Here is a 10396-nt window from a genome sequence, read left to right as displayed (position 1 = left end):
GCATGGTTTGCCTGGTTCCCAGAGCTGGAGGGAGGCTTGGGTTGTCTCCTGTTAGTTCTGGCTCACACTGCAGCTTGCTGTAATGCTGTGTAGACGGATTGCTGGGCTCCCTGGGACTGCCTCTGACTGCCCCTTGGTAACTAAGATTTATGGGCTGGTGGGAGGAACCCCTAGAACCAGCCTTCAACCCCAGGCTGTAATAGCCATAGAGCCAGCAATGACTGACGGGGCAAGGCAAGCCTGAGCCAGCCTGAATCTTCGGAGACTGTCTGGCACTTACCTCAGGCTGCCTTGCATCCTCTACTGTTTACTCAACCCTTCACCAGATTGACAACCTCTAGTTGGAATATGTTTTGTCCTGCTAGACCCTGGTTTCAGGAAGGCAAGAATACTGGAGTCTCTCTGAGGCCCCAGCACCCAGTCTGGCAGAAGGCAATTGCTTTGGTAACCCATTTGCCTGGAGGCTGCTGCTCTAGCTCAGCATTCTCAGAGCTGTAGAACCTGCTTCCTGCTCTTGCCTCGCCCTCTCTGGACCAGAGAAGAAAACCTTGGGCCTGCCACATTTTCACATTGCTCATGGGACTCTGCAACAGTGGCGGAGGGAACATCCTAGCTTGTGTGTGACAGGCCATGCACAGGCTCTTCTGACACTACGTACGTAGGAAGAGACCCCCTCCTGGCCTGGTGGGAGGACTGCTGCCGTGTTCAGCTCTGCTGGGAGACATGAACAAGTAGGTAAGCATGGCTGCCCTTAGAGCAGCCACTCTGGTCTCTGTCCTGCTCGCAACTGAAAGACCTACTTCACCCACCCCCCAGGCTTCATTCAGCCTTGTGACGTGAGGAACAACAGCAGGCATGGTAGCAAGCTAGGCAAGCAGGCTGTGGGGGCGAGCTGGCTCAGCAGTTGATGTGGGTAAGAGAAGCAGGCACAGGATGCTGCCCACCCTTTTTTTTTTTTTTGCTCAGGCGGAGTGGTGAGGTAGTGGAGGCTGTGGTGAGGAAAGAGGAAGTGACACTCCTACAGGCTGGTAGGACAGCACTCAAGCTGCCTGGCTAGAGGAGTCCTAGCAAGACTACCATAGGGCCTAGCTGTGGACAGGTTCAACCCTGAAGTCCTGCACTGTGGAATATAGCAGTGGGAAATATCTGATGCAGTTTTTCCAGTCTTCCCTGGAGAATGTGTAGGAAATGAAATCTAGAGTTAATGGGTAGGAAAGGGGGTCTGAGGCTGGGTGCAGTGGCTCACGCCTGTAATCCCAGCACTTTGGGAGACCGAGGTGGGTGGATCACCTGAGGTCAGGAGTTTGAGACCAGGCTGGCCAACATGATGAAACCCCATCTCTACTAAAAATATTGGGTGTGGTGGTGTGTGCCTGTAATTCCAACTGTTCAGGAGGCTGAGGCAGGAGAATCACTTGAACCCAGGAGGCTAGAGGTTGCAGTGAGCTGAGATGGCACCATTACACTCCAGCCTGGGCGACAAGAGTGAAGCTCCATCTCAAAAAAAAAAAAAAAAAAGCCGGGGTGGGGTGGGTTCTGAGAGCCTCTCAGTTGAGTTAATTATACAGGTTTTACCATTGGCTCTGCGACCTGTTGGATATTCTTCTTGGCTGCAATTTTGGGCTGTCAGTTGCCTGGTGAGAGAATTCACCTAAATTATAAAGTAGGAGTAAATCAGAGAAGGGTCAAGTAAAGCTGAGGTCATGAAGGTGGTTTGCCTTGTAATTCAATAGATACTTCCTGAGCACTTGAGCTTTGGTACGTTCTAGTTGACAGCATGGCTGTTTTTGTTTTGTTTTGTTTTTGAGACAGTTTTGCTCTTATTGCCCAGGCTGGAGTACAACGGTGCGATCTTGGCTCACTGCAACCTCCGCCTCCCGGGTTCAAGCGATTCTCCTGCCTCAGCCTCCCGAGTAGCTGGGATTACAGGCATGTGCCACCACACCTGGCTAATTTTGTATTTTTAGTAGAGACAGGGTTTCAACATGTTGGTCAGGCTGGTCTCAAACTCCGGACCTCAGGTGATCTGCCTGCTCAGCCTCCCAAAGTGCTGGATGACACACCTGAGCCACCAGGCCTGGCCCCATTTTTTTGTTTGTTTTGTTTTGTTTTGAGACAGAGTCTCACTGTGTTGTCCAGGCTGGAGTGGAGTGGCACAATCTCCCCTCACTGCAACCTCCACCTCCTGGGTTCAGGTGATCCTCCCACCTCAGCCTTCCAAGTAGCTGGGACCACAGGCATATATCACCATGCCCTACTAATTTTTTGTATTTTTGATAGAGATGGGGTTTCACCATGTTGTTCAGGATGGTCTCAAACTCCCGAGCTCAAGTGATCTACCTGCTTCAGCCTCCCAAAGTCCTGGGATTACAGGCATGAGCCACTGTGCCCCAGCCAAGATGACAGCATAGTCTTTTTGGAGAAGATGAACTAAGCTGCTTATTAAACAGCAAGCCCTAAGGCCCTAACTTTTATCCAGCTAATTATAGCTTTATAGAAATCTGCATTCAAAAGTAAGTGAAAAAGTCACAGTGTACATCTGTAATTCCAGCTACAGGCTGGGAGGACTGCTTGAACCCAGCAGTTTGAGACTATCCTGGGCAAAATAGACCCTGTCTCATTACTTTTTATTTTTAGTTTTTTGAGATGGAGTCTCGCTCTGTTGCCCAGGCTGGAACGCAGTGGCACAATCTCAGCTCACTGCAACCTCCACCTCCCAGGTTCAAACGATTATTCTGCCTCAGCCTCCTGGGCAGCTGGTACTACAGGCACGTGCGACCATGCCCGGCTAATTTTTGTATTTTTAGTAGAGACAGGGTTTCACCATATTGGCCAGGCTGGTCTCGAACTGACCTCATGATCGGCCTGCTTCGGCCTCCCAAAGTGCTGGGATTACAGGTCTGAGCCACCATGCCTGGCCTTACATTTTTTTTTTTAAGTGAAAAAACCACCCTTCCAGTATCTCAAGCCCAGAGCCTACAAGTAGTGGAGGCTGGGCATGGTGGCTCACGCCTGTAATCCCAGAGAGGCTGAGGTGGGATTATCACTTGCATCCAGGAGTTTGAGCCAGTCTGGGCAACACAGACCCTGTCTCTACAAAAAATAAAAAGTTGGCAGGGTGTGGTGGTGCATACCTGTGGTCCCAGCTACTCGGAGTGCTGAGGGTGGAGGATCACTTGAGCCCAGGAGGTCAAAACTGCAGTAAGCTGTGATCACACCACTGCACTCCAACCTGGGTGACAGAGTGAGACCCTGTCTCCCAAAAAAAAAAAAAAAAAAGACAGCTAGTGCGGTGGCTCACACCTGTAACCCCAGCACTTTGGAGGCTGAGGCAGGTGGATCACTTGGAGTCAGGCATTCAAGACCAGCCTGGCCAACATGGTGAAACCCTTTATCTACTAAAAATACAAAAATTAGCTGAGTGTGATGGCACATGCCTTCAATCCCAGCTACTTGGGAAGCTGAGGCAGGAGAATGGCTTGAACTCTGGAGATGGAGGTTGGAGGTTGCAGTGAGCCTAGACCATGCCACCGCACTCCAGCCTGGGCAACAGAGCGAGACTCCATCTCAAAGAAAAGGGGAAAAAAAATGGTGGTAGAGACTTTTCTGTTTCCTGGCCAAAAATTCTCTCACTGGGGCTCACCCAAGCTGAGAACTAGGGAAACTGCAAAGAAAACATAGTACTGATTATATGCAGGCTTACAAGGTGGAGCTAAAACTAATCCACTCAAAGGTAACAAAAATTAGCAATAGGTATCCTTAATCCAAGCTGTACAGCAATTCATGACTCACAAGGCTCTTCTGTAGAAAACATTTAATAATAGGGAGGTGACAGGGAAAACAAAGCAAGGGCAGTGTTGGGGCATCAGACCAGGGCAGGGCTGGAACTAGGGAGAAGCAACCAGTTAAGAGGCAGGCTACTACAGGTAGCAAATGGAGAGCCCTCTCACCCAGCCAACTCCAAGAGTTCCTCTTGTCCCTTGTGCTCTACCCCAAACTTTAGCCCCAGCACCTGTTCCTCATCTCCAGCAAAGAACAGCAGGGCAGGACCTGAACTGGTCTCTTTTCAGGGGCTGTCTTGAAGATGGCTGTTTTAGCAGACATGAGGCTGCCCAAAGGTTTCTACAAGCCACCTGCGTGGACTTTGGGGGTTGTTGAACACATGCCCTGATAACCATGAATTGGAGACCTGGATCTAAACATGGGCTAGCTACCCATCCTGGCATCTTTGGCTAATACCCTTAGCTTGGGTGCCCCTATCTGAGAATGATACTTTGGGCTGTTCAAGATCCTGTCTGAGGAGCCTCACATGGGTTTCCTAGTTAAGTTGTAAAGTCACTCTGCCAGAGAAGGTTATCACCGCAAAAGGCAGGACCTGGTGGGCTGGGCTCTCCATACACTTCCAGCTCTGACTGCCTGGTATAAATGTTCCTCTTGAGATGGATGTGTGTTGAGGTGGATAGTGAGAGCACTGGGCGGTGGCTAGGGATAGGGCAGGCAGGATTTGCTCTTGGTCACACTGGAGGGATGCCCAGACCACACCCGGGCACTAGAGCAGTTCTGGGATACAGTGTCTGAATCCTCAGTGGTCACTGCTCTCTTGGCCCTGACTGTGCAAGGGAATCACGAACACAGAGACGTCATCGTAGGACACCTGCCCTTCCTCTGTGAGACTGTCTTCCTTTCCCTGTGTGCTGTGTATCAGCATCTGGGCCAGCTTTGAGAACCTGTGAAGACCATCCTGCAGATAGACTTCAGGGGCAGAGCAAAGGGGCAAGGCCAGACCTTAGGAGAACTCACTGCACAAGGCTGGACATGGGGACCCAAGCAATGCAGTCCGACTGTGGACCAAGCAAGCAGCAAGTCTGGGAGGGCCACGGGCTGGACCATGAGAGTCTAAATCCAGGGATTTTCGGAACCCACGGTCTCCCTGCCTCCTCCAAGAAGCTTGAGACAGCCCTGATCCTGGCCAGCTGCCAGCTCATTGTCAGTGCTCTGTCTTCTCAGCCATAACTACTTGGGCTTGCTGCTGGCACCAACCCAGGCCCAGGCAGGTCCCCAGCAGCTACAGTACCTGTGTGGGTCCTCTTGGTTCCCAGGGAGGAAGCTCCGCACCAGCCATGCCACCTGCTCGTTGGACAGTACATCCCAGAGTCCATCAGTTGCCATGACAACCACATCATCCTCCTGTAGCTCCAGCTGGTCCACATCCAGCACAGTCACCTACAAATTAAGCCTGAGGATCCTGCACACTCCCTTCCCGACTCCCACCAGCCTCACTGTCTGCCTTTCTGGGCAGATGGAAGCTGGGTTGGACAGCGTTGCCCCCTTACCTGTGGCACAGAGAGCAAGAAGGGCTTGAGCTGGATGTTTGTGTCCAGGACTCTGAGCTGATGGTCTCCCAGGCCCCGGGAGACAGCCAGTGTTCCTAGTAACCGAGCCTGAGGGAAAGTGAGGTGTGAGGCGATGGCAAACAGCTCCAGCAAATGCACAAGTACCAGGCCCTAGCACTGCAGAGCACACAGGGAGAGGTGGACTGTGGCCCTTGGAAGCCTTGGACTGAGAGAGAAAATTCCTAGTCTCAGAGCAAATCCCAGGCCACCAGCCACAGCTACCAGCAAGAGGCAAAGGAGCTCCCACCTCTGCAGGGGACAATGAAGAGGGATTCTTGGGGTTGAGGAGGACCAGGCACTGACCTGCCTACCCTGTCCATGGATCAGTGGGTACTTGAGATCCGATTTCTCCACACGTTTGTAGCTCCTACCAGGAGCAGAGCCAGCATCAACCCAAGCCCTGTGCCCCATCTCATCTTTCCCCAACTCAGGGCCCAGCTGTCACACCCTCACAGTGCCACCCTGCCAAGGTGGAGGGGGGCCCCAGGCCATACGGCTGGGCCTGGATCCCAGGGGTCTCCCTTCCTACCTGTCCCCCATCCCCACTCACCAGCCACTCATGTGGTGATCCCTGAACAAAACCTTCTGTCCCAAGTCATCCCCCTTCAGCCGCCGAGGGAACTCCAGTCGGGTGAACTCACCAGCCAGAAGCTCAGGATAGACAAAGGCCTGGGGTGGGGAGGCTGCGCTCAGGTCATACTCCTTCTTATGGCCCTGGACCCAGGAGTTGGAGCTTCACAGCCTCCATGCTGCCAAGGGCACCTACCAGCTGCTGGATCCGCTGCCGCTCAGTCTCTGGGGTGAACTCGAAGCTCAGTGGCCGTATCTCATCTCTCCGCACCAAGATGGCCCTGGATTGAGGAGAGAAGGGAGAGGTCTAGGAGGAGGCCTCCACCCTCACCCATGGCCACCCTCCTACCAGTCCCTCCTCCAACCACCAGGATCCAGCTCTGTCCATGATGATCCCTTAAAGCCCTCCATGACTACCTAAGACCTGCAAGGGTGAAGGCTTAGCCCTTTAGCGGGGCCTTTGAGGTCCCTGCCCTCCCCGGCAGCCACTGTCCACACTCGACACATAACAAGTACACACACAATTCAGCCAGTCAATCCTTCCTACTATCCCTCCACTTCCAGCCACCTTTGCTTGTCCCCATTGCTGCTTATGCCCTCCCCATCCCACCCTTGCCCACCCTCCAAGGGGTGACTCACCTGCTATCCCCAGCATTGGCCATGTACAGCTTTCCCTGCAGGGACACAGCCACCAGGGCTGTGCAGCCGCCCATCTGGCCTGAGGCCTCCAGCTCCCGCCCGATCACCTCATCCTGGGGAAAACCGAGGCCACCTTAGCTGCTGCCTGTTCTGCCACCATACTACTTTGTCTCTCAATCCCCACCCTACCCTACAGTTCACTTCTACCAGCAGGCCTGACAGTCCCAGCCCAAAGTCCAGCCATACCTCCAAGATCCCTGCAGTCAGGAGATCTAGACAAGGGAAGTGCTACTCAAAATAGGAAGAGAAACCAGCCCCTGCACCAAGGACCAATAGGGTATTCAATTAGATGATGCAGGTAAAAGCAGTTAGCACACAGTAGGTGCTGGATAAATGAGAGGGGTTATGCTGATAGTGATGGCTGTTAGTAACAATCCAACCAACCCAATCTCATCCTCCCAATCCAAGGATCTGGTGTGATGACCATGGGTATACAGAGATGCCATTTCCTGAGATCCCCGGGGCAAAATCTCCACTTCTTCCCCAGCCAAAAGCCACACACTCACACATTCCTGAAAGGCACTCTCCAATGCCCCGATCACCAAGTCTTCTGCCCTGATGCCCTTTTCCTCCACAAACTGAGGGTCACTGGGGCAGATGCAGCGGCCATTGAGGTGCATGGGGGGCTGAGTGGCCACCAAGCCTTCCACCACGGCCTCCAGCTGCCGGCGCAAGCAGGAGTGCAGGGTGTTGGCAGCCAAGATGGCTGCTGCAGGACCGCCGTGCCCATCGAACAGTGCCCAGTAATGGCCTGTCAGGAACTGCACAGGAAGGGCTCAGTGTCAGCCTCTGCCTGACTTCCCCACTTGTCCCCTGACGCAACCTAACTAGGACCTGGGGCAGCAGGGTAAGAACCTCAGCCTGCAGGTCGTGGCCCCAGCCTGTCGGAGGGATTCCAGCCAAGAACTCAGACTGCACTCACCTCCTCTGGGCACAGGGTCAGCCACTCTTCTTCAGCCCCAAACTCACATCTCCGGATGCACAGCTTCCCACAGGCGGCTTGATCCTCATTGAATTCAGATTTCTCTGCATTGATAATCCTGAGGCCGGGAAATGGTAAGCGACCCTCCAGGGACACACCTATGTCCCCATGGGCACAGGGACCCAAGCCAGCACAGGGAGAAGACCCCTCCCTCTGGGGCAACAGCTCCCCAGTGCTGTCCCTAACACACACTTAGACAACCACGATGTAAGCTTCCTAACTTCACTGGCCTCATGGCTAAGGTAAAAGTCAGGGCCCAGCTCCTCTGGAGCCTACCTGGTGACCCAGGGCTAGACGGTAAGGGTAGGTTGCCATTCCTGCCCCTGTCCTGTCGCAGCCCAAAGCCCTGTCCCATACAGCGCAGGTCATACCCAGGGTGAGATGGTGGGGGTAGAGGGCGAGGGGAAATCTCCAAAGCCCCGAATGCTGGAACTCTACCGAGTCTCTGGGCCTCATCTTGGAAGCCCCTGGGCTGCAGGTCCTTCCCGACCTCCTGTCTTCTCTGAGGGGGAGGTCGGAATCCCAAGGAAAACGCTGGGTCGGGATGACCGGGAAGTTGTCAGGATTCGGAGGTGAGGGCAAGAAGGGGCTGTCCACAGGTGGGTGGGGACTGTCACTCAGCTCCTCCCGCTTTCTAGGCGGGCGCAGGACCCGAAGCGGGTTCAGGCCCGGGCCTGAGCTGGGGGTCGGGGAGGGGCACTCACTCGGCGTAGCCTGCATTCCAGGGTAGCGTGCGTCCTCGTGCGGGGCTGCGCACGGGCCGGGAGTCTGGGCGGCGCGAGGCGTCGGCCGCCCCGGGGCTGGAGCTGGAGCCGCGAAGGAAGCGGGGCCGTCGGTAGGGCACGGGGCTGGCATGCGGCCCAGGCGGCCGCGGCGCGGGGAGCGGCTCCCCAGGCAGGAAGCGGCGCCGGAACCAGCCGGCGGACATGGCGCGGCGGCAGGGGGCTGCCCGCGGAGCGCGGGGCGCTAGGGCTGGGCCGCCCGCGGGAGGAAGAAGCGGGCCGCGGGCGGAGCCGAGGGAGGGGTGCGCCGGCGGGAGGCGGGGCCGGGGGCGCGCAGACGGGAGGCGTCGCCCCCCAGCCCCGACCTCCGCCCGGGAGTGCGTGCGCGGCTGGTTCGCTGACTCCAGGGGTCAACGCTCGCGACCGCCTGAAGAAGCCCACGCCGGCATCAGCCCCATTTGACAAGCAGGAAAACCGAGGCCTAGAGAGGCGAAGTCGCCTGCCCAGCGTCCCACAGTAGCCAGGGAGGACTGTTCACCCACGCTTGCGGGGCACTGGTGGTTGAGAGGAAAAGTCCCCCACACTCCGCGGGGCCAGCGTCGCGCAGATCCTCGGACCTCCTCCTGCTGGGTGGGGACCTGACGCAAGGGGAAGATGGGGACAAAATGAGCTGGGAGGTGTCAGACCCCCACATTGAGTAAATGCCACCGAGCACAGGTTCCTTCAGGCGGCCTCCAATCCTCTCCACCCCGGCCTGCCACCCTCCACCCCAGACGGGCTTAGTGGGCACCTTGGCTTTCCCCGTCCTGAGAGGCTGCTGCCACCCTCGAGGACAGTCTTCCAAATGGCTGTCCCTGCATTCAAGATGTCTTCGCGGAATAGACAGCAGGATCCTTACTGGACTGTGAGTGAGTGACGGACAAGAGAAATCTGTGTGAGTGTAAAGGGGAATCCGTGGTCCCCCAAAGGCTCCAGCTGGTCCGAGTTCAGACCTGGGACGGAGGGAAGTGAAAGACGAGGAACCATCTTGCGGTCTCTCAACCACTGGCTAGCTGTCACCAGGCGGTCAGCCGCAGTGTCCCCTTCACATCTGCGAGTTAACAAAGCACTTTGTCACCCATTTGTCACTCAAGTCCAACTCCCTGTGCAAAAGTGTTACTTTGGCCGGAGGCAGTGGCTCACGCCTGTAATCCCAGTGCTTTGGGAGGCCGAGGCGGGCGGATCACTTGAGGTCAGGAGTTCGAGACCAGCCTGGCCAACATGGTGAAACCCCGTCTGTACTAAAAATTAGCCAAGCGTGGTGGTGTGCGCCTGTAATCCCAGTTACTCAGAAGGCTGGGGCACAAGAATCGGTTGAACCCAGGAGGCAGAAGTTGCAGTGAGCCGAGATGGAGCCACTGCACTCCAGCCAGGGCAACAGAGCGAGACTCAGTCTCAAAAAAAAGAGTGTTACATCATATGGACGATTCTGAGGCCCATGGAGGGGAAGTCTTGGACACCCAGGGCTGTACTATTTCCATTATGACAATGCAGCTGACTCAATCCTCGCCCCCAGGGCACTTCTCTTCCCCTTTCCTCCTCCAGGAAGCCAGGGCTTGCCAATTAAAAGCGGCTAAGGCTCCACAGCCCAGTGCCTGCATATGAGCTGTATGAGGAGTCCACCTTCACCTCCACTCCCTAGCCCAGGTAGACGCTCAGTAAGCCCTACTTCCTCCCAGCAGCTAGTCCTGCCCCAGTGGGAGTTCCTCGGGCCCAAGAAGGAAGGTTCTTAGGGCAGGGACCTGTGCCCAACACCCACTCCCTCCGATGACTCAGTCCCAGACCAGCCTGGGGGCTGATTGACTGAACCCACAGTGTCTGCTGGGGCCACACTGGGCACAGGAACGCAGTGCTAATGGAGACAAGCCAGGCCTCTGCCCACCAAGCCCCCTGCAGTGATGGTAGCAGTTCTGGTGGATGCTGCTTCATCCAGCTGGCAAGAGGATAGGGGCGATGTCAGAGAAAGTTTCCCAAAGGACCTCTGAGCTGTG

General features: G+C 55.6%; 1 protein-coding gene across 7 annotated transcripts, besides 3 other annotated features; it reads right to left on the bottom strand.

The window, feature by feature from the left end:
* Positions 647–966: an enhancer, noted in NCBI's record as "active region_19934". NCBI's record gives its function as "activates an Ori minimal core promoter by ATAC-STARR-seq in GM12878 lymphoblastoid cells {active_cell/tissue: GM12878}" and the evidence as "EXISTENCE:reporter gene assay evidence [ECO:0000049][PMID:35858748]".
* Positions 3798–8638, bottom strand: PPM1M (protein phosphatase, Mg2+/Mn2+ dependent 1M). 7 transcript variants are annotated; one of them, XM_005264879.3, is made up of 10 exons: positions 8349–8638; positions 7585–7702; positions 7169–7423; positions 6603–6715; positions 6160–6244; positions 5944–6062; positions 5697–5760; positions 5334–5441; positions 5075–5223; positions 3798–4752 (listed from the first exon to the last, which is right to left on the bottom strand). In XM_005264879.3, exons 1-10 carry the CDS (start codon positions 8570–8572, stop codon positions 4641–4643), a joined length of 1347 nt encoding a protein of 448 aa, XP_005264936.1. In that variant the 5' UTR covers positions 8573–8638; the 3' UTR covers positions 3798–4640. The 7 variants fall into 7 exon arrangements, 6 of the variants coding, with proteins under 6 accessions (XP_005264936.1, NP_653242.3, XP_005264938.1 ...); NM_144641.4 differs by having other exon boundaries at positions 3798–4727; XM_005264881.2 differs by lacking the exon at positions 8349–8638 and adding an exon at positions 8083–8230 and having other exon boundaries at positions 3798–4727.
* Positions 8295–8354: a silencer, noted in NCBI's record as "silent region_14436". NCBI's record gives its function as "represses an Ori minimal core promoter by ATAC-STARR-seq in GM12878 lymphoblastoid cells {active_cell/tissue: GM12878}" and the evidence as "EXISTENCE:reporter gene assay evidence [ECO:0000049][PMID:35858748]".
* Positions 8395–8764: a silencer, noted in NCBI's record as "silent region_14435". NCBI's record gives its function as "represses an Ori minimal core promoter by ATAC-STARR-seq in GM12878 lymphoblastoid cells {active_cell/tissue: GM12878}" and the evidence as "EXISTENCE:reporter gene assay evidence [ECO:0000049][PMID:35858748]".

Source organism: Homo sapiens, chromosome 3 (genome assembly GCF_000001405.40).
Source record: "Homo sapiens chromosome 3, GRCh38.p14 Primary Assembly".
Taxonomy (NCBI): Eukaryota; Metazoa; Chordata; class Mammalia; order Primates; family Hominidae; genus Homo; species Homo sapiens.
This window is presented reverse-complemented; position numbering and strand designations above follow the sequence as displayed.